General features: G+C 41.1%; 1 protein-coding gene across 18 annotated transcripts in view; it reads right to left on the reverse strand.

Moving 5' to 3' along the window:
* ZNF827 (zinc finger protein 827) overlaps positions 1-27,622 on the reverse strand; it is a 181,197-nt gene that overhangs the window by 86,374 nt on the left and 67,201 nt on the right. For 14 of the 18 annotated variants that reach the window (XM_017007768.3, NM_001410850.1, NM_001306215.2 and 11 more), the window contains 3 exons: positions 26,245-26,478; positions 5,322-5,561; positions 1,956-2,013 (listed from right to left, as the gene is read on the reverse strand). In XM_017007768.3, the coding sequence (XP_016863257.1) occupies positions 1,956-2,013; positions 5,322-5,561; positions 26,245-26,478 (532 nt within the window). Of the gene's footprint in view, positions 1-1,955; positions 2,014-5,321; positions 5,562-17,371; positions 17,783-26,244; positions 26,479-27,622 lie in introns of those variants that run through there. The other 4 variants (XM_047449635.1, XM_017007770.3, XM_047449639.1 and 1 more) reach the window with 2 other exon arrangements.

The raw sequence follows: 27,622 nt of genomic DNA on the forward strand, positions 1-27,622 counted from the left end.
TTAACCTATAACACTTCAAGAATCCTATGGCAGCAAATTAAAATGAATATTTTTTTATGTTTAGTCTGCTGTCTTTCAAGGTCTACTAATCTGTCCAATTTCATCAGTGTTTAGACCCACAGACACAAGCACATACACTAAATAGCTTAAAGGTTAGATGTAGGAGGGGGCAGGATGGATTCCATGGGAGTTCACATCTTCTATTTGGGCATCAAACTTAATATACAAAATAGCCTTTCCATCCCCCGAAAGCCATTTCCCAATACAATCTGCAGTCCATCTTCCTACTCTCATTTTCTCTCTGTATACTTATATACAGACACAAGACTAATACATACCACTCTTCTGTTCTATTAGAACGAGGTTCCTCTCCCTAAAACTATATAAACCCAGTGTGAGCGAATCACGGTGGCTCACCCCTGTAATCCCAGCACTTTGGAAGGCCGAGGCAGGCAGATCGCTTGAGCTCAGGAGTTTGAGACCAGCCTGGGCAACATGGCGAAACCCTGTCTTTACAAAAAATACAAAAATTAGCAGAGGATGGTGGCATATACCTGTAGTTCCAGCTACTCGGGAGGCTGAGGTGGGAGGATGGCTTGAGCCTGCAAAGTGGAGGCTGCAGTGAGCCAAAACTGGGCCACTGCACTCCAGCCTGGGAAACAGAGTGAGACTGTCTCAAATAAATAAATAAATAAATAAATAAATAAATAAATAAATAAATAAATAAATAAAATAAACCCAGTGTGAGGCAAGCTGGCTCTGTTTTAATTGCTCTTTGAAATTTGACATTCCTAAACTCCAATTAATGGAATATTTTTTTAAAACCTCAGGTTGAAGTTTAAATGAGTACTGTCCACAGGCCTGATGATGCTCTGAGGTCGATTAATAAGACATCAAAAAGAAAAATATCTTGTACCTTTTGTTGCAAGAATTAGAAACACAAAACCCAGCAACTGTTCCCATCAGGAAGAATCTTTCTCTGTTTGCTCAGGAAAGCAAAGTTCCTTGATTTAAAGACTGCTTGGTAGCTCCCAGCTAGTTTCTACTGTTCCTAGTTGTTCATCCTAAAAATGTGTATTGCTCTTGATCATCCTGTAAAGCTCATATCTTGGGCTAACTCAGAAATTGGAGGGAGGTTTGAAAGTGGAGAATGGTCCTTCAAAGGTGGAGAATGCATTTCCCCTGAGCTCCTTTTCTGCAGTGGTGGGGTTTTCATCTGCTGGCTCTCACCTACAACGTTTCAGGTTTGGGTGGACTTCATGGGAAGCAGCTCCATGGGAGCAGCAGCACTGGCTGATCCTCCTCTTCTCACAACGGCAGATGGACGGTGGGCAGCCCACACTGGCTAACCTCCTCAGACTGCCTTTGGCAAGTGAAAAAACTTCCTTGTCCACAGTGGTGAATGATATAAATTTCCTTGCAATTTTTAAAAAGCATTATCTTTTTTCTGCCTTTAAAATCTTTGCCTTCCAAATAACGCTGGGAGGTTAAAAAAAATTTGGGATATCCTTGGTGACAAATTATCAGCCTATAGTCATGGAGGCAGTCAGGAGCAGGGTTGCAATAAGACAGAAAGAGGCCTTCGTGAGATACAGACCCAGCCCCCAGTCCCAGCTGAGCCACCCGGCTCAACTCTCAGGCCAGGAGACTTCTGCAGAGAGGATGATAATAACATCTACTTCACAAAATTATTGTCAGGAATACAAAACAATAACATATGGAAAATTTCCCAGCAAAGTGACACCTATTAGATGTTTAGTACATATTAGTGGTCTTCCTCCTTTACGTCTGTATTGTTTCTACCAACCAAGAAATTCTGGTAGAACATGGTGGTAAAGGGTGTGACTCCTTTGAACCCAGTGGGAGAAAGAGGTTTGGGGAGCAACGTTCAACATGTAGTACGGGCTGGTGGCCCACACGGGGTGTTCTGGAGGAACCCACACAAAGTCGCCTACCTGGTCGTGGTCCGGATGGTGTTTTCTTTTGTATGATTGTGCTCTTTGCTCACTTTTTCTGTAAGGAGAAAGAATGAAACATACACCTCTTAGGTTGTTCTCACTCAACTTGCATCTTTTAGCCTTAAGCAGAAAAACCCTCAACATCTCTCTTTTTCCTTTGTGGTTTTCTTTTGATTTCTTTTTTAAACATCCAGATCCTCCCCATCTTACTGGAAAAGACAATCATCCAAAGCATGTTGATAGTATCCAGTGGCTCACGCCTGTAATCCCAGCACTTTGGGAGGCTGAGGCGGGCAGATTAGGAGGTCAGGAGATCGACACTATCCTGGCTAACACAGTGAAACACCGTCTCTACTAAAAATACAAAAAATTAGCCAGGGATGGTGGTGGGCATCTATGGTCCCAGCTACTAGGGAGGCTGAGGCAGGAGAATGGCGTGAACCCGGGAGGCGGAGCTTGCAGCGAGCCGAGATCGCGCCACTACACTCCAGCCTGAGCAACAGAGCAAGACTCTGTCTCAAACAAACAAACAAACAAAAAAACACAACAACAACAACAAAAAACAACCATCACTCAGGCCAGGTGCTGTGGCTCATGCCTGTAATCCCAGCACTTTGGGAGGCCGAGGCAGGTGGATCACCTGAGGTCAGGAGTTCAAGACCAGCCTGGCCAACATGGTGAAAACCCGTCTCTACTAAAAATACAAAAATTAGCAGGGCATGATGGCGCGTGCCTGTAGTCCCAGCTACTTGGGAGGCTGAGGCAGGAGAATGGCGTGAACCCGGGAGGCGGAGCTTGCAGCGAGCCGAGATCGCGCCACTACACTCCAGCCTGAGCAACAGAGCAAGACTCTGTCTCAAACAAACAAACAAACAAAAACACAACAACAACAACAAAAAACAACCATCACTCAGGCCAGGTGCTGTGGCTCATGCCTGTAATCCCAGCACTTTGGGAGGCCGAGGCAGGTGGATCACCTGAGGTCAGGAGTTCAAGACCAGCCTGGCCAACATGGTGAAAACCCGTCTCTACTAAAAATACAAAAATTAGCAGGGCGTGATGGCGCGTGCCTGTAGTCCCAGCTACTTGGGAGGCTGAGGCAGGAGAATTGCTTGAACCTAGGAGGTGGAGGGTGTAGTGAGCCAAGACTGTGCCACTGCACTCCAGCCTGGGCGACAGAGTGTAACTCTGTCTCAAAAAAATAAAAAAAAAAAAGAAAAGTAAAACCAATCAAAGGGAAACAGTAACAAATATCAAATATCAAGTATGTGGTCTGATTTGAACGAGGCCTTGGTAAATATATACGTACACATACACATGCACACACACATAGAGTTATGGGCAGAGACAGTTATTTCCACTGTATCTTTCCCCAGCTGAAAATTTCTGCTTTCCTCTGATTCAGCATGAAAACTGCAGTTGTTGCAACTGTTCCGCCTCTGACTTTGATGACAACCTTTAAGCATTCTGTATTGTGAGGCCCCTTTGTGAGAGGGGATATAAAAACAGCCTAAGACCTCTTCGTGCTGCAGTCATTCAGTGCTTATTCTGATAAATGTCATAAGGGACAAAAAAATATCATTTAGACAAGAAGAGGTAGACCCTCCCTTACTGTGGCTTGAGGTCTACATCTATCAGCTGTCAGAAATTATTTAATGAGCTTTCAAGAACACAAAAGTTGAACTCTGGCCTTCCCAATGCAGTTCAAATGTGAGGACCCTACACTGACGGTCACAGCTGTCAATGGCTTCTTTTAATATCTAGAAAAAACCTGGCCAACTGTATAAGAGTTTCAGATTTAAACAGCAGGGCAAATAAAAATCTCTTAATCTTGTGGATTTTTGGAAAAATTTAAACAAAGATTTGCAACACCCGTCTCACACTTTGTACTGCTAGTCTGAAGCCACTGCATGCATGTGTGCATGGACAATTCCTTTCTGTCCACTCAACAATGACAATGAGCGTGAATTTGGATTCACAGCCAGTACTCTTTCAGAGAGCAGGAAATCGGGGCTAAATGACTTGTCTGAGGTCACCCAGGCAGTGACAGCGCCAGGGTGAGAACTCTCAGACCCAAACTTTTTAGCTGATAGGAGACTGCGACAGCATACGGTTTAGAGAGACTTTCTGAAAAGAACCACGCAGGTCACACTTTTGCAAATTTTAACTCCTCAATCATTATTAAAGTTATATTGTTTTTAGATAAGCTTCATCCTTCAAAAAATACATAAATAAAAGTAGCCTGTTTTGGAGCTTGCAAAGATCTGTGTGTCCTATTAAGTTTACAGAATTAGTGATTTCGGCTACTGCAGAGATCTGCACAAATACCATCCCTGTTTGAGGACCTGGAGGCCACCATTTTCAGCACCATCTGATAATTACACAGCTATGGGCTGTGTTGCCAGGTCAATGAGAAGGTGAACTATTATGGCGACAGACAGATTTTAGCTTTTTTTCTCTTTCCTGGTATCTTCCTTAAGAGAGAATTAAATGGATGCTCTAAATGTGTTATCCATAACAAAACAGAGTTTGTTGAACATTAGTAACAGGCTTTATTGATGGATAAACTTTAATATTGTAGGCCAGTGCTTGACTTTGGACAAGGTATTTGTATGTATTTCTATCCGAATCTTATATATGTATATACCATCAACCTCAATCATGTGCAAAAAAATAGAAGCATATTAAATTTGCTAGGGACAAATGCTATGCGGCTTGAAAGAGATGACAGAAGGAACAACTTAGGTACTGGGATCCTTAACTATTTCATCCAGACACCTCACTGAGCTGGTAATTACTGCACTTTTCAATTGTAAGTATGTGCAGTACAAAAAGTTGGTTTACCGAAACTGTTCTGCTAAGGCTATAGCTGGAAATAGTCCTCATACCTTCATCTTTTGCTTTTCCCTTCTTTGTTTTGTTTTTGTTTTGGCAAGATACAATAAAACCTCATTAATTCAGACCACACTAATTTGGAAGTCATAGTAATTCAGTCACTGTTGGAATAAATTGAAATTTATCTTTTGCACATTAAAAAAAAGCCTGTTAATCAGATCAACTGCCTAAGCAAAATTAGAGGTGAGGTGTTTAGCCCAGTCAACAGGAATCATTTGCGCAGAATTGAATAGAGTTTTAATTTCAAGTGATTCTTAACTATTTATTAAGGAAAGTTTGGCAGGAATTCTACTTGGCAACACTTTATTAACTGTTAGTTTGGGTGGCAGTATGCATGTTAAAGCAACAAAATTGATTTCTGTCTAAAAAATCCTATAATTCAGGTTTTTTTTTTTAAAAAAAACTGTGTTAGAAGGGTTTTCCTTCAATGATTTCCAATAATTGACATTTTCCTGTGCATAAACATACCTGACAGTTGAAAGAGGAGCTCGGAAGCCATTTTCACAGAGATATCCTGACTGAAGAGGTTTCTCTCTGGGGGTACTCTGCCCTCTGGCATCTTCTGTAAGGGTTCGGTTTTCTCTCGCCCGATTAAAGTGCTGTAGCCAACATTCCGGCTGGGTGATATCGAGACATGGGAGTCCTGGATGTCAACCTCCATGGGTTCCTCTTTAATCTTCACCATCTGTGTTTCCTTGTAGCTTTCCGCTGCAAGTAGGTGAATGAAGAGAAACAAAAACACCACCATTTCTTAATTCCAAGCTAGACCCAGTTTCTAATCACAGAGAAAACCATAAAGATTGTGGCAGGGAAGAGAAAAATGAGCGTGCACGGCACACTGGACCATAGTTTGAAAACCATTGGCTCAATCATCTAATACCAGAAAAGGTAGGAGACTTCAGTTTTTTTTAGCCCAGAGAGACTCAGAGGCTTGTTCGAGATCACAGATGGTAGCAGGGCCAGGCCTTGGCCTGCAAGCTGGAGCCTATGTTTCTTGACCAAGGTCTCTCACCAACCACATGTGCCCCTTCCTCTCTACCACACTGTTTCCAGAACTGAGAGAGGACACGGTAAGTGTTTGTTCTTGCTTTAGAACTTATTCAATTCAGTGAATCAAATAAGAGCAAGCATCTTAATATTATGGTTTTCTCCCTCTATTTTTTTTTTTTTCCTGAGAAGTAGTTTCACTCTTGTTGCCCAGGCTGGAGTGCAATGGTGCGATGTGGGCTCACTGCAATCTCCACCTCCCAGGTTTAAGAGATTCTCCTGCCTCAGCCTCCCGAGTAGCTGGGACTACAGGCACCTGCCACAATATTCGGCTAATTTTTGTATTTTTAGTAGAGACAGGGTTTCCCCATGTTGACCAGGCTGGTCTTCAACTCCTGACCTCAGGTGATGTGCCCACTTCGGCCTCCAAAAGTGCTGGGATTACAGGCATGAGCCACTGCGCCCGGCCTCTCCCTCTATTTTTAAAGCTCTGACCAATTGCTTTTCTCTCTTCTAGGGCACATACATTAATCAAGGATAAATAGGGTCAATTCAACGGAGACATTTGCACCTTGCTGGAGGTGTATGGAAGACCACGCAGGAAGTTAACTGCAGCCCAAGGAGCAACACCCAGAAAAACAGCAATCTTACAAGTTATAATAATGGTACAATTTACTGTGTGTCATTTAGGTGTGGCTATTAGATGCTGGGTCTTTAGTCTGAAACACATATTTGTTTTGTAAGGGTGGAGTGTCTATGTCCATCTATTGCTTAGAGTTAATGATAAAACATCTTTGAAACAAGGTGGGACAATTAGCCCAGAAAATAACTTGGGTCGCTATAAAATAAGGCCACACTTTCAAATTAATAATAATAATTAGGAACTACTGTGTACTCAGCACACTGGGAAACAAAAAACAAAGAGGATTTTGATAGTTGAACAGATAGATGATAGACAGACAGATAGAGTAGTGGGTTGAATTGTGGTCCCCCAAAAGAAACATCTACATCCTAATCATGGGAACTTGTGAATGCGAATGTGACTTTATTTGGGAAAAAAAGGTCCTTGCAGATGTGATTAAGTCAAGAATCTCAAGAAGAAATCATCCTGGATTATCTAGGTGGGTCCCAAATCCAATGACAAGTGTCCTAATAAGACACAGAAGAGGACAAGACATAGAAACAGTGGAAAAGGCCATGTGAAAACAGACAGAGACTGGAGTGATGCAGCCACAAACCAAGGAGTCCCTGCAGCCACTGGAAGCTGCAAGAGGCAAGCCAGGATTTTCCCCTAGAGCCTCTGGAAGGAGTGCAGCCAGACCAACATTTTGATTTCAGACTTCTAGCCTCCAGAACCATGAGAGAATAAATATCTGTTGTTTCAAGCTTCCAACTTTGTGGTAACTTGCTACAGCAGACCTAGGAAACTTCAGATAGATAGATAGATAGATAGATAGACAGACAGACAGGCAGACAGACACACAGGTACACAGATAAAACAAACAGCAAGAAGCAGTGTAAAGGAAGTGCTGATCTGTGGGACAGTCAGGAGATGTCATCAGGGAAACCTCATTGTTAGAAGCTGGGAGGGCCAAAAAGCTATGCTTTCCCTGGAAAGCATGACATGGGTGAACGTCAAATACACGTATATAGTTTATTGACCGGTAGTTAAAAAAAAGAAGAGCATTTTAACCTAAATGATTAAAATTAATACAGTGCTATCAATAAGATCTTATGTAAGAAGAGTGTTAATTGCTCTTTTTTCTTCCTGACATATTACACATGCTTCTCAGGGAAAACTGTTTTTTGTCAACAACTAAACTGCAGGCAAGTGTGGTATTTACTTTAGATCCCTCCCCCCTTTCCCTACTCCTGCCAAGCTGTTTTTTCTCTTCATGTCTGCAAAGCAGCTCATAAAAATCAAGTTCACTGAATCAGTCAGTCATGATAAAAAAATTTTTTTAAATAAAAAAAGAGAAGAAGAAGAAAGCTGTCCAAGATACACGCTTAGCTTCTCTGCCTTTACTTCCAGTTCATCTGATTCTTCCTGGAGAACTGATCTTCCTCCCTCAAGCCCCTTAGGGATCTGGTGACCTCACAGCCATCCTGACCTCCAGCCAGATCAGCCACCCTCATGGGCAGTCACAACACAGCTTCCCTCATCATGCTTCCCCAAAGTACCTAATATTTGGAAAATAAACAGTGGGGTCAGTGTCATAGGTACATAATGATGCGTCTGAATCTTGCACTGGGAAGTCATTGTAAGGCCTGGGGACAAACACAAAAGAATACTAGGACAAATACAAAGGGATTCACTTCATTTAAAAAAACTTGACACTATAAAAAGCAAAGCCAGAAAGAAGCTCTGTTATTTATCTTCTCCTCACACCTCATACCACCCTGCCTCATTTCCCTAGCTTTGACCATGGAATAAAAAATCACCTGGCTATTTGCACCACTAAATTTAATGAAATTAGTTTTTAAAAGCTTCCTGGGATCACATCAAGTATGATTTACATGAAGTGCTTTCTGCTCTTTCTTATGACAACCCTTGCCCTTTCAAGAATGCACAAAACACTGATCACTGATAAAAAGCCTTTGACCTTCTTAATTTACTTGACAGATTCCAGACTCAGGGAGAGGAGTTTTCAAACTAACATCTCAATGGACAAGTGAAACACTGGACAAATAATACAGTAAATATCACAGTCCCTTCTCTTCCATGCAATAGCATTATTGCCAAGTGTTTTTTTTGGCTTTTCTTTTCAAGCAGGATTTCTCAACCTCGGTACTACTGACATTTGGGGCTGGATAATCTTTGTTGTGGGGGACTATATTGCACATTGCAGGATGTTTAGCAACATCCTTGGTCTCTCTACCCACTAGATACCAGTAGCATTATCCTCTAACTTTTATTTATTTATTTTTTAAGAAACGTAGGTCTCACTACGTTGCCCAGGCTGGAGTGCAGTGGCTATTCACAGGTGTGGTCATATAGCACACTGCAGTCTCAAATTCCTGGCCTCAAGCAACCCTCCTGCCTCAGCCTCCTGAGAAGCTGGGGCTACCTGCACAAGCCACCATCCTGGGCTCCATCCTCTAGTTTTAACAACCAAACATGACTGCAGATGTTGCCAAATTTTCTCAGGGGAGGGAAGGGCAAAACCATCCTGGTTGAAAACCACGGCTCTAAAGTTTTTGCCGCATTCTAGTTTTTGCTCCAAAGAAAGTTCAATCACCACACAAGACAAAGAAGAAAGAAAAAGCTCCTTTCATTTCTAGCCTAGGCCTGGTATCAATCGCCACCTCAGCCAGGTTCCTGGACAGGCTGACCTGGCAACACTGGTTTCTGTTACATACCTCATTTGGTCCCCAGGCCAGCTCTCTTCTTTTTGCCTGGGGTGTTCTAACATAACAACGGTTGAATTAATCATTTCTACTATCTCTTAGCTTTGTCTCCCATACCCAGGGACATGTCTACACACACAGGATTTTACTCTTTCCTGTACACACACAACGTGAATCCTTTTAGAATCTCTTCCCAAAATAATAGGACAAATAGTCATTTTATCCCAGGTGGTCTATATATCGTTGCTGTTGGTGTGGTGGTGTGCCTATAGTCTCAGCCACTCAGGAGGCTGAGGTGGGAGGATCTATTGAGCCAGGGAGTTCAAGGCTGCAAGGAGCTATCATTGTGCTACTTCACTCCAGCCTGGGCAATAGAAGGAGACTCTGTCTCAAAACAAACAAACAAACAAACAACCCACAAAAAAACAAAAAAAAACTACAAGATATTTCAGAGGTTGAATGGGAAGGACTTGGTGGCTGACTGTAGTCTGAATTAAGAATGAAAAGAGGCTGGGTCTGTAATCCCAGTACTTCAGGAGGCTGAGGTGTATGGATTGCATGAACCCAGCAGTTTGGAGACCAGCCTGGCCAACATGGCAAAACCCTATATCATAAAAAAGTACAAAATTAGCTGAGTGTGGTGGCACATGCTTGTAGTCCCAGCTATTTGGGAAGATGAGGTGGGAGGATCATCTGAGCCTGGGAGGTCGAGGCTGCAGTAAGCCCTGATTGCACCATTACACTCCGGCATGGGCAACAGAGCAATTAAAAAAAAAAGTCTCAATTAAAAAAAAATGAAGAAACAAATGTGAGAGAAATTATGGATGAAATTTATACAGGAACTGGATGAGAGGCAGGTGAGATGAAAATCCTATGAACTGTAAGTCTCTAAGGTTTGGAAGATAATATTTTTTATCTTCCAAACTAGGAGTTTGGAAGTCTTCCTCACTAGGAGTTTGGAAGTCTTCCTCACTAGGAGTAAGGAAACTACCAAAGTTGGGCTGAGGAGAAATTCAGGAGAAGAAGTTCTGTGTTGCCTAAGTATTCAAGTTTCCCACAGGAAGTGGAGGTTGTGATGGCTTACAGGTGGGAAGGGAAGGACATTTGTGACATGGAGATGGGAAGTCATCTGAATTCATGGGACAGAGTGAGGTCTGCAAAAGAGAGCAAGCAGAGGGCAGTGGATGGGGTGGAACTGTTGTTACCTACCCTTAAGAGGAGGAGGAAGAAAAGAGCAAGGAAAAGAGATAGAGAGGGAATAGTCCCACCTGGTGTGGTGGCATGGAAGCCAGGAGAGAAGCAGGAGGCTCTGCAGGTGCCACGTGAGCTTCCTGCGCTCTGCCTTCTTGCCCTTGGGTTCTTCCACCTGCACAACGATTCCTTCTCTGTCCCACAGAAAGCCTCAGCCCCACCCTCCCTACTTCATCTCTGAGCACTCCTCCATGTGACTTTGTGCTCCTGCAATACTGAAATATTCCAGTTGCTTCAACAGAGCATGCTGCTCCTTGTCTTATCTTTTGTTATGTGCTCTTTCCTTCCCAAATATCCTGATAAAACCCTATTCAAACTTCAAAACCCTATTCGGATGTCCCCTCTGTGAGCAGCCTTCCTGTATCTTCCTCGAGTGGCACTCTCTCCCTCATCTTTTCTATATCTAGAGTGTTTGTACCTTATAAATATTGTGATGCCTTACACAGCAATTATTTTGTGTAGATTCATTTCCCCTCTGCACTGAGCTCTCAGGGGAGTGCTTAGTTCTTGTTCATCTTTCGGATATCCTCAAGAGAGCACAGGGCATGGCGCGTTGAGCAAGCTTAATGCTATGTTTGCCCCATACATCACCTGAGGTGTGGCACACGGTGGTGTGTAATGTTATCCTCCCTTCCTGGGCCCTCAATCTGCTGCGAACACTCATACATGCTACAGATTACAACAAAATATGAAAGGATGGAACACTGGAAATGGCACTGATATAAACAATATCAATTGGTCATTCCCTCTCGACTGCATGCTATCATGATTTGGAACTAGTATTGTAGAACAAGAAGCTTAAAAGAGCCTCTAAAAGCACTGCCAACTATGCCATGCTGACACCATTCACTTTCTAGAGTGATAGGCTTTTCAATGGGATAAATCAAAAATCTTTCGTCTCCAACTTATGAACCTCAAAGATACAAAGGTCTTGGATGGGCAAACACCCTCCACATATGAAATTTGATTCCTGCAGGTCTTAGGATTGATCATTACTTAAAACTTTGTGAACAAGAATGCAGACCAAAAGGACCAATGAAGTGAAACAAATGATCAGGACACAGAAATGAGATCCCATGGTAACATCTTTATCTTGGGACTGGCACCCGCTGGCATCTGATAAAGGCAAGATGCCTGCTCCCTTTGCTTCTCTTTTTGCCCTTCCAAAACCACAATGGAATGAAGAATTGGGCTGGGTTTTCTTGGTTGCTCAGAGAATGGCTAAGCCCCAGATCTACTGGAGTGGAGGCCAAGGATGGAGCAGAAAAGGAAATGTTTATTCCACAGAAGTCTGAAATTACATGTTTGGCTTCTCCTTCTTAGAGAGAAGCAATGTGGAAGTGAAGCAGCCTCGGGCCCTGAAGCCATCCCCTCACCCTATGACTGGAGCTAGGTACCCAGTGCAATGGAGATACCTTGTATCTCCATCCTTGTTATGAGAATTAAGAACCCAATGCTTAGATGCTGAATGTTATTCTCTCTTTTGGCTTTTTTACCCTACACTGTGTCTCCCCCTGTATCACAAAACAGAATCACAAGTCGATTGAGACAAGCTTTATTTTTTTTTTTTTTGAGACAGAATTTCTTTCTTCTTGCCCAGGCTGGAGTGCAATGGCGCAAGCTTGGCTCACTACAACCTCCACTTCCTGGGTTCAAGCAATTCTCCTGCCTCAGGCTCCCGAGTAGCTGGGATTACAGTCTTGCGCCACCATGCACGGCTAATTTTTTGTATTTTTAGTAGAGACAGGTTTTCTCCATGTTGGTCAGGCTGGTCTCAAACTCCTGACCTCACGTGATCTGTCCTCTCGGTCCCCCAAAGTGCTGGGATTACAGGCATGAGCCACCGTGTCTCCAGCCAAGACAAGTTTTATGTTCTATAAAGGATCGGCTTATTATATGCTTCTTCTCCATGGGAAGTAATATATTAAAATTCATTTTTATCTACAGTGTGGCCCTTGGTGGGGAAAAGCTCCCCATTCCTGCTCTGAGGAGTGAACTCCAATACTGGGGCTTGCCCATGGGTGCTGCCACACCCCAGAGAGAGGCGATGCAAGCCTGCTCCCAGGCCTGCTCTCCCTCCTCGACAAACTGGCCATCTGTTCCTGGGGAAAAAGAGGGGACTCTTTCTTCATAAAAGAAAACAGTAGTGGGCACATTTTCCTTTAGTTATCCTCAATATATAAGAAACTTCAAGAATGGTAGCTTTCAACAGAAAACCATACAATGACCTCCAGTACACACATACACACACACACACACACACACACACACACACACACACACACCCCATTTCACTCAGAATAGTGCAGGGAAAACTGAGCAAACCACGAGACCAAGCCAATGTCTATGATGAAGATGATAAAAAATCTGTGGCAAATTAATTCTTTAATTAATTCATTAATTAATTGAATTAAATACTCTTTTCTGGTGGTTACACCAATCTTTACAGCAGCCTAAACATTAGAAGAATTTTGTTTAAAATGATAGAACTAGGATTTTCTGTATGCCTCCTCCTTCTTTCTCGCTCATGCGCGCGCACGCGCACGCACACACACACACACACACACACACTCTTATTCTTAAAACAATTTCAAAGGTATTTTATCAGAATTGATTTCTTGAATTTTATCATCAAAATCATAAAGTAACCAACATTTTCCCTCTATATCAGTATAATACCTGGAAATTTAGGAAGGAAAATTAACAAATGTCTTTAGAATTAGCTATGCAAATTAGAATTCATAATTAAGTAGACAGAGGTGAGCAGGGGATCAACTTAGAGTCAATTTTAGAAAAACACCTGAGAAGCACCAGGTATTCTATTTTGCTAACTTTTTGAATTTGCAAAGAACAAACATGTCTTAAAAATGCTGAGCTCAAACTCTACAGGTAAAAAAGAGTTAGTGAGACTTGGAATTTCTTTCTGGGGTACATGAAACATATCATTTTCTACAAGATCAAAGCGCTTGTTGCTTTACTCTTACGTAGATTTTTAAATTAGTCTTGTGTCCTCTACACCAGTTATCAATGCAACAGGTCCTCGACTGAGCTAACTCAGTTGGATATCTGCAAATGTTGTCAGACTGGCCACAACAGTATGCCCACACCTGCAGTATGAGTTTTCAACTTGATTCTGGTGACCAGATATCAGAATATGTCCCTCAAACATAACAAATTCTGCACTCAATTTCACTTTTGTCCAAATCAAAATCAAAATTAAAATCCTTCAGTCGCTGGGAGCTCAGAGAGATTAGCTTTGGCAGCCCAGCAGATGATGTCGGGTGGCTCAGTCATTATCTGTTGAACTTTGAGTGTCCTGGTGTTAAATGTAAAACCTCTCCCAATCATCTTGTTTTCTTTTCATTTAATAATTTCACTAGAAATTAGCTAAAGAGGTGCATTTGAACTATATATATGCCATTTGGTAACATTCCAAATGATCTCATTTAAAAAAAATTAACCTATTTTTCATCTAATGTCCAGAATATACTTTTCCTGTCTCATATTAAAAAGGCAGAAAAAAGAAAAAAATGGAAAGGGTCAATTAAAGTATCTGATCTAACCTTAAAGCTATTTAACATTATTATCCTTTGCCATTTAATAAATCTAAGCCCTGTCCATCCTTATATGTTGTGAATAATAGGCCTTTATATATCCTTCCATGAACCAGAGTGCTGATGTGTGTGCATGTGTGAGTGTGTGTGTGTGTGTGTGTGTGTGTGTGTGTGTGTGTGCACATGTGGCTTCTAAACAGGATTCCTGGCAATGGTACATGCCTATAATCCCAGCCCTTTGGGAGGCTGAGGCAGGAGGATCACTTTTAATAAAGATGTTTTTCAAAATGAGACGGTACATTAAAGTCAGCCTAGAAATCCCCTCTAAAACATAAAAATCTAAAATATACAAATTCTGGCCAGCACAGTAGTTCACACCTGTAATCCCAGTGCTTTGGGAGGGCAAAGTGGGAGGACTGCTTGAGGTTAGGAGTTCAAGAACAGCCTGGGTGGGTAACATAGCGAGATCCAGTCTCTACAAAAGATAAAAATCAAAAAATTAGCTGGGCTTGGTGGCACATGCCTGTAGTCCCAGCTACTTGGGAGGCTGAGGTGGGAGGATAGCTTGAGGCCAGGAGTTTGTGGCTGTAGTGAGTTGTAATTGTGCCACTACACTCCAGCCTGGGTGACACAGAGAGACCCTGTCTCAAAAAAAAAAAAAAAAGGAAAAATGATGAAAAAATATATAACTCCTGAAAGATTCAGTAGAATCCCTGCTACCATAAAAAATTACCAAAAAGCAAAGGCCATCTCTGTCAACTGATGGGTTGGCCATTGCTTTATGCACAGAGGGATTCCTTAATGCCCAAGGAGGGAAAGGAGCAAAAGAAGTTTTATTTTAATAACTGAGAGTTTGTCAATTTTTCAAGTATTTTCCATGTCCAGAGGGTCAAAGGGGTTCAGTATATGCAGACAAGTTTAACATGCTTTTCTTATGTGGTGCTACATATTACTAATATGCACTAGTATATAACACTAGTAGATACTAGTAATATTAATCTACAAATATTGCTAATATAAATAATAATGAATCTGTTGCAAGGATATCGCTGCTGAAAAGCCGTGACTACTTCACTCTTGTTGGTCAATGTTCCCAGCAGGCAGGGAAGGGCTGATAAACATGCAGAGAGTGGAGAATCAGATAATAACAGAGACCAGAACCCAGGCAATACCAGGAGTAAGATATGGTAGCAATAGATGGGGTAGGAAGGGAACGTAGGCTCCATGCAGGTGAGGTCCTTATTCACTTTTGTATCCTTAGTGCCCAAACAGGGCTTGGAAAATGGTAGCAGCTCAATAAATATCTGCTGAATGAAAGAATAAGTGAAATAAAACAAAAAGGAAGGAGGTCACAAAGAAGAAATGGAAAGATAGGAGGAGTAATATAGGGTTCATTTAAACCCCCAAGAAATCTTCGCAACAGCCAATAATAAGTGAGTCCCTGTTTTTGATAGGGTACGGTCCCTAGTCCCATGCCTGTGGGAGTCGTTGGACTGTGGGGTGGGACCTCCCACTAGTAGATAATGTTCCCTCCGGGCTCTCACTTCCCCATAGTTTCTGGAGATACAGAGTGCATGGATATTCCCCTGATGTATTTTGGCTGTGTTTCAACCTTCTTTTCCAAATGCTTTTTAAATCAAAGCTACTTACAAGTAGTGTAAGCGACTCATTTTAATTTCCCTTCCTCTCTCTGGTTCTCGCGTCCTCTCTAGAGCAGGTGCTGAAGAGCCAGAAACAGCCAACCAGATGGCAGGGGGAAGAGGACGCAACCCTTACACTGGATAGCGAGACCCTAGTCACTGAACACTCACAGTTACACACAGGACTGATACCCCAGTCCTGGGTGTCTCCAGGAGAGCTGAACGTCAGGCAGGAACAGCTTTCTAGTATGAACAATGCTTTGGAAGAAAATATTTTAAACAGTATGATAGGATAAACAGGGTGCAAATGTAGTGGGATCTAGCAGGAGTAATTGAAAAGATTTGTCCTGATTAAACGTGTAATTCTGTCCTGATGAAACTGTCTTCCTACTCCCCAGCTTTCTTCTTTCTTCTTCACAGCTCTTTGGAAAAAAAGTTCTAAAAAAAGTATTACTTACATATTACCCGATATGATGGCTAAATAAACATGGCTGATTTCCAAGTGAAAGTTCTTACCAATATTTGAATGTGCAGAGGCAAGAGATCCCACTCATATAATCAGGTCCACAAATCAGTGCAATTTCACCTCTTCTTCTCAGTAATCCTTGGTTCTGTTGAGGGCCTCTTTTCCTCTTGAGGGGAGGGGCTCTTAATGCACCTTTGGAAACACGCATGTGGACCACAGGGAGCTCTGTAAGGCTGTCCCCATAAACGCCCTCTACCTCAAAATAGCAGGAAGAATTTCTGGTAGCAAAAATAGGGGAAGTGTGTACATATGTTTAGGGCAAGGGTGGGTTTATGGGGAAAAGGATGGTAGTAGTAGGAAGTAAAGAAACAAGTTCATAATTTATTCTTTAAACAGTGACCCTCGCCATCTGATTTTGTACCTAAGATAAAATGTGATGGGTCGCACATAAATTCTATAACCTTCCCTCCTCTCTCCAGCTGTGGAGATAAGTGATACAAGCATATGGCAAGCCACAGGAAACCAGGAAATGTGCTTGAATCCAGCTGCTATCCCGTAGTTAGAAAAAAGGAAGTAAATCAACTCACAGCACAAACTCAGGATGGCTTAAAATGGGAAAAACGCATACATGGGTGGAGTAAAGAAAAGAATTATTAGAAGGGAAGACAAAGATCCCTTCAGAAAGAATACCACAGGCCCTTACAGCTTGATAGCGGGGAAACACTTTTAAATCATTTGTCTTTCTGTAAGAATCCTAAAAGCCATAAGAGAAAAACAATTCTCTTTGTGAAATTTCTATTCTTGGGCTAATATGGACACTCCCCTGCCCAATGGAAAGGGTCCATCACTCTCAGACTATATGCATCTTCCAGTGCGGTGCACAGATGCGCTGAGTAGCCCCTGCCCCACCACGCAGTAGAGCCCTTGCCCAGTGGGTGACCCGGCCTCTTGGCAGCAGACAAGCTACTTAGCAATGAGGATTCCCTTCTCAAGGGGTAGGTCTATGAGACCAGCATGTATCCAGATGGGCACCATATTCATGCGATTTAATTATGCATGCAAATATTCCCCTTCTTTGACATGAATATGTTAAAGGTGAAAGGTTAATATGGTGATGAGAAGAAAAACCACTGTGGAATGAGAATGCTTTTGATATCTCTTTAAGGAAAATAATGATTAAGCTCTCCCTCACAAGACTATAACTGTATTAACATATAGCCAAAAGGCCGCTGGGAGGAACCTCAAAAACCTAGAATGGTGCAAGGTACATACCTTCTATCCATCAGGAAAACTTGTCCTATGAGTGAAAAATTGAGCAGATTGACTGGTTACTCAAATATTTGCAACCACACTGCAACTGGATCCCTCGGAAAATAAAGCGTCTTCTCAGAGTCGTCATCATCAAATCGTATTTACCAGCGGCCTCTCCGTTTGTGCCCCAAGTATGTGTTACCGATTAGGTAACATCTGTAGTCATTTATACCAGAAACAGAAAGAGATGCAGGAATCCAAGAGGAAGGCCTAGGCGTCATTCTTAATTCTTTTGCTCCATATTTGTAAAGGAAGATCTAGAGCCCCTTCAGCACGCCCCCACCCCAGATCCACCACCCTGCAGCCCTACCCACTCCCTGCTGCGTCCAGACCCCTCCCTGCCCTAGTCCTGAAGCAGTCCAACAGAAAAGGAATCTACGATGAAGGTGGAGCACATTAAATTCCTGTCAGAGTTCTTGCCTGGTTTCTGGGAACACAAGCCAATACAAATTTTCGTGGCTATATTAACATATGCAGCTATGCGACAGGGAGATGATAATAAAACAAGAGCCCTTTTGAGTCTGGTCTTTTGAATCCCAGGCCTTGGAGAAAGCTGGGTCAAAAAAGCAAAAAGGGTAGCCTGAAGCTTGAGGGCTAAAAAGGGAGGTGCAGAGGCCCTGGCCTTGAGGGTGTGAGCTGGAACAGCTCCCATATGGGGCGGGGGAAAGCAGCAGGAGCCATTCAGGTGTACGGGTTTGAGGATTTGTAAAGGCCATGTGGAATTACAAAATAAACAGAAGGGTGCTTACTGGCCAGAGCGGGTGTAACAGCAGGTATGGCCAGAGAGCCTGTTGGAATAAGTTCCTCTTTGTAGCTGAGAAAGAACCAAGTTCCAGGGCTGGCTGCATCCAGCTACTTCTGAGTCTGTCCTGCTTAAATGGTCAGGTTAACAATACTGCTGTCTAGCCTCTGAGCTTAACAAGATCTAGACCTTCAAGAGAAGATTTCTCTGGGTATAGTAATATGTTGTTTTTACCTTATTAAAGTGATCTGTTCCCTGTTTGTGTAACATATAGATTTGGTACTCCCAATGTCTCCAATTCTCACTGAGTTTTCAAGGGCTAAAAAAAGTCTAATTCTTATTTATATTTCATTGTCCCCCAGCCATGGGATATATATATATATATAAAATTGCTCACGGTGTGTATGGCAATGAGGAAAGTGATCCAGCCATTAGTTGTAGGCCCATTGCTGGTCACATTCACTGTAAGTCATTTAAAAAGTTGACATATAAATATTCTTTGCCATCAGACATATAAAGAATGCTACAGCAAATACGGGAGTCAGAAGGGTCCACTCCACTGAGGTATTATTCAATAAATTTGGTTTCACAGGCTTTATATCTCTGAAAATTAAATAGCACTATGTGAATATGAGACAGACTTTCCTTTTAATATTAAACAAGTCTGCATTTTTTACTTAATTTTTGGATTTATGGAAAATGTGATAGGGCTCACAAGCAACAAAAGAAAAACAGAGATAAAATGGACCTCATCAAAATTAAAAACGTTCATGCTGCAAATAATATCATTAAGAAAACGAAGGACAACTGGCAGAACTGGGAGGAAATATTTGCAAATCATATATCTGAGAAGAGACTTATGTCCAGAATACATAAGAAACTTTCAACACTCAAGAATAAAAACAAATAACCCAATTTAAAAAGTAAGAAAATAACTTGAATAGACACTTCTCCAAAGAGGATATACAGATGGCCAATAAGCACATGAAAATATGCTCAACATCATTAGTCATCAGGGAAATGCAAATCAAAACTATAATGAAACACTAGTTTACACTCTTAAGATGGTTATAATAAAAAAAGACAGACAAAACCAAGTTTTTTGCAAGGATGTGGAGAAATTGAGACCCTCATCCACTGCTGGTGGGCACGTGAAATGGTGCAGCTACTTTGGAAAACCACTTGTCAGTTCCTTAAAATGTTAAACACAGAGTTAGCATTTGACTCAGCAATTCCATTCCTAGGTATATACCCAAGAGAATTAAAAACCTAAGCCCACACAAAAACTTGCACATGAATGTTCATAGTAGCAGAAGATGGCAAACATCCAAATGTCTTCATAAACGAAAATGTGGTATATCCATACAATGGAATATCATAAAAATTGAAAATGAATAAAGCCATAAAAATGAAGTACTGATTTATGTTACAACATAGAAAAACCTTGAAAACATTATGCTAAGTGAGAGAAGCCAGACACAAAACACTGCATATTGTATGATTTCATTCATATGAAACGTCCAGAATGGACAAAACTATTGAAACAGTAGATTCATGGTTGCCTGGGTGGGGGGTGGAGGTGGTGGGGATAGAGAGTGACTGCTGCTCATGGGCTCGACATTTTTGGGAGCAATGAAAATTTTCTGGAATTTGATGTAGTGATGGTTGCACAACTCTGTTGGATATACTAAATATCATTGAATTGTGTACTTTGAATGGGTAAATTTTATGGTATGTGAATTATATTTTAATAAAGATGGGCCAGGCGCAGTGGCTCACCCCTGTAATCCTAGCACTTTGGGAGGCTGAGGTGGGCAGATTGTCTGAGCTCAGATGTTCGAGACCAGCCTAGTCAACATGGTGAAACCCCATCTCTACTAAAATACAAAAAATCAGCCGGGCGCAGTGGCAGGCACCTGTAATCCCAGCTGCTCAGGAGGCTGAGGCATAGAATTGCTTGAACCCAGGAACCCACTGCATTCCAGCCTGCACAACAGGGTGAAACTCTGTCTCTCTCATACACAACCTCCCACACACACACACACGCATACATACACAGTTTTTAAAATGAGATGGTACATTAAAATCAGTCTAGAAATGCCCTCTAAAACATAAAATATATAAATTCTGGCCAGGCATAGTAGCTCACACCTGTAATCCCAGTACTTTGTGAGTAGCTCATACCTCCCAGTCCTCCCAAGTTGGGAGGACTGCTTGAGGCCAGGAGTTCAAGACCAGCCTGGGCAACATAGCAGACCTTGTCTCTACAAAAAAAAAAAAAAAAAAAAAAAATTAGCTGAGTGTGATGATGCACATCTGTAGTTCTAGCTACTCTGGAGCCTGAGGTGGGAGGATCGCTTGAGCCTAGGAGTTCAAGGTTACAGTGAGCTATGATCACACCATTGCACTCCAGCCTGGGTGACTGAGCAAGACCCTGTCTCTAAAAAAATAATAAAATAAAATATATAAATTCTAGAAAAGCAGAATACTGGATTCAATAAATTTCTCCAGGGACTCAAAAAAAGTTGAAATGAATATGTGAATTTTTTGATTTTTGGACTTACTAGACTGATTAGATCTACCTGTTCACTTTATAAGTGAACTCTACATTTAGCCTTTTATGGAAGCAGGTAGAATCATAAGGAACTAAGTACAAATTGGCCTCACATCGTCTCTACCACCTAACTAGATAACTTCCAAGTCTGAAGGAGGCAAATGTGAGAAGGCAGTAACATAAAAATACAACATGTATTTTCCATCCGTATAGATTACTGAAGTCACACTGCTTAGAAAGCTTGCTAGACCATAATTTTCCAAGGGAAAATACCAAATAAGCAAATAAGTTTTTGCTCTGAGAAATTATTAAGCTAAATCTCTAATTAACCTCAAATAATTGTTTAGAAGAGTCTCCAACATGGTCTTAGATTATGTAGAGGGGAGGTAGAGAAAGGTTTTTCTCCTAAATGAAAGCCAACATTGCTCAGGAATAATCATGAAATTTAACAGCAAAGAGCATTGAAAAAAGTAGTATTATCTGAGGCTCACAGCCAACACTATCTTGATTTATTAGGTACATGTGCCCTTCTAAAAAAAGGTTCCCAGATACCATTATTTCATAATAAATTAAAAAGAATCTTCACTGAAGAGAGATGGTTCTTTTTAAAAAGTAAAATGTACATTTAATAGAGCTTTGTTCTCTGTCAGCTTCAACCTAAAGCATTCTTCTCAGATGGATGAAACTTATTTTTCCAATTAACCACTTCCTCAGCACAGTGCTTCTCAAACCTTAGCTGTCAGAATCGCTAGGAGGGCTTGTGAAAACACAGACAGCGGGACTCCCACCCCCAGAGTTTCAACTAGGTCCAGAGTAGGGCTCAAGAATTTGCATCTCTAACGCTTCCTTATCCCCACAAATTTCATGATGATTCTGCTGGTCTAGGGACCACACTTTGAGAAGCACTGCCTTAGCAAATTAGAGAGGTTTTTCTCTCAGACCCTTTCAAGAAGGAAAGATAAACAGCACCAAACACATTTCCACTCAATACTGAAATGACAGCAACCACCATAATTATTCCTGGACCTTTTGTGGTTCGCATGTATTGTTCTATCTTCCTGTTTCGCACCTCACCCTCCTGCTCTCCCTCCCAGCAATCCCACATGGCTAATGGCAGCAGCCACATCTGCCCAACATGCCCTCATTTCTAAATAGAGAAGTTTCCACTCTTGGGTCCCAGTTAAAGCCAAGACACTCAGTTGGGATTTAGGACTGGGATAAAGACATTTCTGTCTGGCTATTCTTTTGAGCAAAACATAAACTCAGAAGCTGCTGGCAATTCCCCCTTTCCATCATGTGGACTGGGTAACAGAAGAAGTCCATCTGTCGGTCCAGAGAGAAGCAGAAATGAGGTGAGGAAGGGGGTGGTTCCTGGGTTCCATATGGGCCTCCAGCCTCTGGCTGCGGTGGAAAACCAAGGCCCCACTGCATCTCTGCCCTTGGGATCCATAAGCCAATCCCAAACCTGCATCTTCTACTAAATTCTTCTATCTTGCCAAAACTATCTGAAAAGGGTTTCTGTTATTTATAACCAAAGGGGCCCTAATTACAGCTGCTAATAAAGTGAGTTCTTTTCTTCTCCACTTCAGGTCACCGCAGAGATTAAATTCACCTTAAAATGTCATCCTACTCAAGTTTACCTGTTTCTAAATATCTCCTAGCTGAAGCTCCATCTCATTTAGGTGATACCCTAAGCCCATCACTATGTTATTTCAAATCTAGGGCCTGGTTGAATTCCTATACAAGAAGCAATTGTAATTTATATGGTTCTCCAGGACTAGGCAGGAATAAATGAATATAAACCAGAAATGAATATAAATCCACTGGGTGAGCACAGAAATTTTTAAAACCAATAAACTTGTTTAAAATTAAGGTCTAATATGAAGTTTTATTTACCATGTTAGAGAAATGTAAACGTTTAATTTTTCATTAATGTTTCTGCATAGCTCCAGCTTTCCAGCTATGTACTTTTTGTGTGTGGAATTCATATTTTTAAATGGCATTCTTATCTACTACTTCTAGGATCACCCAACCATGCATGATACATTTTATATATGTATTCCCATGGAAACATGTAACTCCCCAAAGAAAGAAGAGGGCATTTATCTTCATCACTTTGCATCTAGCTACTTCTCTTAAAGCAAAACAGAGACAAAACAGACAAAATTTTGTGTCATTTTCAGCATTACATCATATCCATGATAACACAGCTATCCCATAAGTTTGCAAGGTGACCAGACATTGCAAAACCAGAGTTTAAAGGTACTCTGAATCTCTTACACTATCTAATGTTATATATCCTCTATATTGAACACTGAGATTTCGGCCTCCTTGAATGAAGACTTCTGGGAATTATCTTTGGCAACCATATGCTTAGCAAAAAAGTCTGATTATTTTGGCTGCCTTGTGTCACATAACAACAAGTAGTCGCAGACTTCCAGTGCTTTCCTCAGAGTGTGTTGCTTTCTTTATGGCAATCAATTTACTTGGCCCAGCTGTCAGGCATTCAACTTCCCAATTAACAACTGGAAATAGAACTCGAACCACAGGAAGGAAGAAAGCTCAGATTTTCCCCAATGCACACTTAATGAAAAATTGAGCCTACTCTAGCTCATCTGCGTTTTTCCCATAAAACACAAATGTCAATTTGGAAAACAATATACCTACAGAGTTTTCTCCACATAGAAAAGTTCCACATGATATGTGACTGGGCCAGGTGCCAAGTCTCCATCCTTAAGGAGTTAACATAAATTAATTTAAAACTGAAAATGAAGCAGCCAAAATTGTGGACTAGTTTCTTCTTATTCATTCAATGAGAAGACTGAAAGGGTCTAAACTATAGGTCACCACTTCTAACCTCAAGGAAATAAGTAACAGAGAAGAAAATTCCTTTTATTCCACATCTTAGCTACTCCTTGGGTCAAAACTAAAACAAGGAAAAGTATGCCTCATCCTTGCATAACTAAGTATCCTCAACCAACTCTTCCTGACCAGAAAGATTTTCCCAAGCATATGGGAAGACTACAAATGAAAACAAGCAAGGCAGGAAGCAATAGGAACTCCTGTTCACAAGAACAGCTACAACAAAGCTTTGGGGGTATCAGCCAAGGCAAACTGGTGGTGTAGCCCTGTCCAACTACACAGACGTTTTGGGAAATGAATTATTACTCTTGTCTATAGAGCAACAGAAGTGATCATGGCAAAGGGTATCTGAAGACACAAGTCCTTTACTTGGATGTCTTTTAGGGCATGAACTATGAAATTGTTAAAATTACAATTTGAGGAAAGAACACACAAAGTTTTTTCCTAACATCTTCATTCTTGCAAGAGCACTGTTCTATCAGTGATTAGAAACTCTAATATCCACTTTAAACCTAATTAAGGGTGAGTCTTCTTTACCTTGTGGCTTAGGAATGAAATGATATTTGCTTTTAAGTCACATGCCTATTGTTATGACTAAAAAACTTCTTCCCAGTTTACCTGACCATGGCCACTAGAGTATGGCAGTACTAAGTTCCAAGCGCAAATCACATGAATGGATTCCACTGCCCTGGATTACTTCTGACTAGACCACCGCATCTAAGGGTCAGGGCTGTGATGCATATCTCTTTGACCTAAGTCTTTTGCACACAGAATGCTGAGGATTTGAGGATTTTTTTTCAGGGCAAAAATAATTGTTGTCAGTCTTCAAACAAGTTTTCATTTCCACATCACGAAGCAGGGGCAGATGCCCTTTGGAAACAGGACGTCATCCATTCAACTATTGCTGAACCCCATAGCACATGTGCTCAACCAAAGGCAACATATACATTTAGAAGGACCACTGCTGTCCACAAATATCTTTCACTGTTCATGGCTGTTAGACATATTCTGTTTGGGGGATATCATTATTATCTACAAAATGATTCCACACTTGTGTCTCAAATCTCATCATGCAAAAGGATTAAGATAAAATATTTTTCCTTAAAGAACATCACTCTTGAAATCTCATTTTTTGCATATTATCTTTTGGTGCTACCCAAGTCTCTTCTGCTTACAACACCTGCTGCACAGCAAACTCTGAACTAGAAATATTATATACTGGAATCTGACCATAAGGAGGGAGACAGGGGTCACTGTTGGTTAAGACTTCAAGTCACTGGAATGTGAAAGTGTATGCTATGGGGGAAGAATCAGAGCTATGTGACCTCTTTGAATTTATCAGAAAACAACAAATAGATTACTCTGCATCATTTAACATAGGAAGGAGAGTTCAAATATACAAAAAATGTGTTCACTTGAACATCCTTTATAAAAATATTCAGCTTTTATAATAGCAAATAGTACAATCTTACTAACATCTCATCTGCATAGGAGGTACTGCACTATCTCTGCAAAGTTTAGGAAGACAGAGCTATGATAAGAATGTAATGATTGCATTATGCTTTATTTATAACAAATCATGTTACCTTGAACTTCCAATGTGCTTTGAATTAACATCAAAGAAAAGAATTTTTAACCCCACCAACTGGTAAGTACAGGAATTTCAACTGTTCTGATATAACGACTAAGTAAATCACTGTTAATTTCTTACTTTCCAACCCACTAGTCAACCAGAAACACAGTCAGAACTGCTGATGAAATTACAGGTCTTAAAGGAGTCTCTCTAATGCATTTCTTGCTTTCATTCTCCAAGCACAGCAAGTTTCAAACTAAAAACAGCTTTCGATTCATATTAGCATTTTAAATATAGTTTCTAAAAATTCTGCTTAAGAGGTAATGAACTAAGGATGGGATATGACTTGACAAGTATTATTATTGATATAACCTTTTTTTTCCATGTTCTGAAAGTCCTATCTTTGAATTGAAAAGACATTATGTTTTTACCTGTTTCAGAGAGGACAGGGCAGATAGGAGATGACGTGGAAAAAAATCCAAACTATATGAATTTCAAATTATAAGCTATTTTCCCTACATTTAATACGCTGAGATTACATTTAGATGCTAGTAAAGAATGATTCATTAATCTTAAGAACAGATTAATTATTGTAATATTCCATTATAAAATTCTCTATCCATAAAATCTCTTATTGCCACTCTATTGGTAATTACTTCAAGTGCCATCTCAAATGCTTATGAAGTTAAGAAAAATATTTGTAATGGTGCTTAAAGAGTGTAGTATAAATACACACAAAATGCCAGGTCCTCTATTAGGAAAGAATAGATATTTTGATCAATTAGCAGAAGACCTTTGAACATCATTAGAACCCATTTAAAATTATGGCCTATATCACCTTAGAAAGCAGCAGTGGTTTCCAACAATTTGCAGTGATAGTCAGGAAAAGGTTGTATTTAATAAGATAGGTACACAGCTAATATACACAAACAAACTCACACACAACACAGGAATTTAAGCCAAGTAATCTGATCGTTCTTTGAATTCACAGCAATAATGCGATATTGCTGCCATTGGGTTAATTATAACCCATGCAGGAAGCAGTCCAGTTGGCCTGCAAGTGAAACTATCAGAATGTGAATATTTTAGAATAAATCAAGTACCTGAGAGTTTCATGAGAAGTTCAGAGGCTGCTTTGACTGACACATCCCGCCTTAGCACACTTCCCTTCCCTTCCTGGGGCTTTAGTGCGTCCTCAGAGACGCCTGGGGCTGACACTTCAGATTCCGGGCTGAACACATAGCTGGACCGAGGCAAAGTCGTGCTTAGGGACTCCCCTTCCTTAGGCTCCTCTTTCACTTTAAAATTAAGATTCATGGGCTCCTTCTGATTTGCAGCTGTCAAAAGAAAAAAAGGGATTATATATACATAAAAGGCCACTCCCCTCCTTAGCTGCCCTGGTACTTCACGAAGTATGGAATGCACAATCACACTGTGCTAACAACCGGAGGGATCACAACCTCATCAGAACAGGCTGGGCCCTGGGCAAAACCACACAATACACTCCATGGGCCTACAACTCTGAGGAGTGTGGGCTTCTGAATCTTTTGAACCTAAAATATTTTAAGAAGTGCTACCTCTACAAAGTTTCTGGGCATTTTCTCTTTGGTTTCCCTAGAAGTCTTGTTTCCTGTGTATGCCACTGCCTCCCTGACTTATTAGCACTCTCCCCACCTAATCCTATTATGAAATAATGCTTTCAGGCAATTATTCTGCCATAAGATATTGAATACAAACATGAGTCAGAGGCAGTACCCAAAGCAAAAACCTGGGGTGCAATGGTAAAGTGAGGATGGAGAATTTGCCAAACAGAAAAGCTCAGACTAGAGATAGACCACTCTTGCCTCATTATAAGACGACACTACTGATCCATAAACAGTGGGGCATTTACTTAGCACTGTTCTTCTGATTATGGTGATAAATCCATGTCTGTAGCCCAAGTCATCACTGAGTCCAAAATGGCCTTTTTTTTTTTAAAGAACAGTTTTTATTTTGGAATAATTTTAGATTTACAGAGAAGTTGCAAAGATGGTTCCAAGAGTTCCCATATATCCTTCACCCAGAATTCCCTAATGTTAGCATCTTACATAACCATGGTACATTTGTCAGAACTAAGAAATTCACATTACTATGAGCTAAACTCTAGATTTTATTCAGATTTCACCAGTTTTTCCACTAATGTCCTTTTTCCATTTTTAGCATGGTTGGTTGCTGTGGAGTGTGTGGTCAGGACAGAGCTAACTGGCCTATTATGGGATGGATTCTGTGGCTCAGCCACACTGTACCAGGCCTTCTCCACTGGGCTACATACTACCCAGGAAAGACCACAAAGGAAGAGACAAGCACCCTCTTCCTACTACTCTTCACTTTCACAGGCATCTCACTCCCTTTAAGAGTCCATGAGGTAGGAACTTAGGATTGATTACACTGATTGTGTCCATCTTTTGAGAAAGAGGATCTCATCCTAATACAGGATTCTTA

This window comes from Homo sapiens, chromosome 4 (assembly GCF_000001405.40).
Source record: "Homo sapiens chromosome 4, GRCh38.p14 Primary Assembly".
Taxonomy (NCBI): Eukaryota; Metazoa; Chordata; class Mammalia; order Primates; family Hominidae; genus Homo; species Homo sapiens.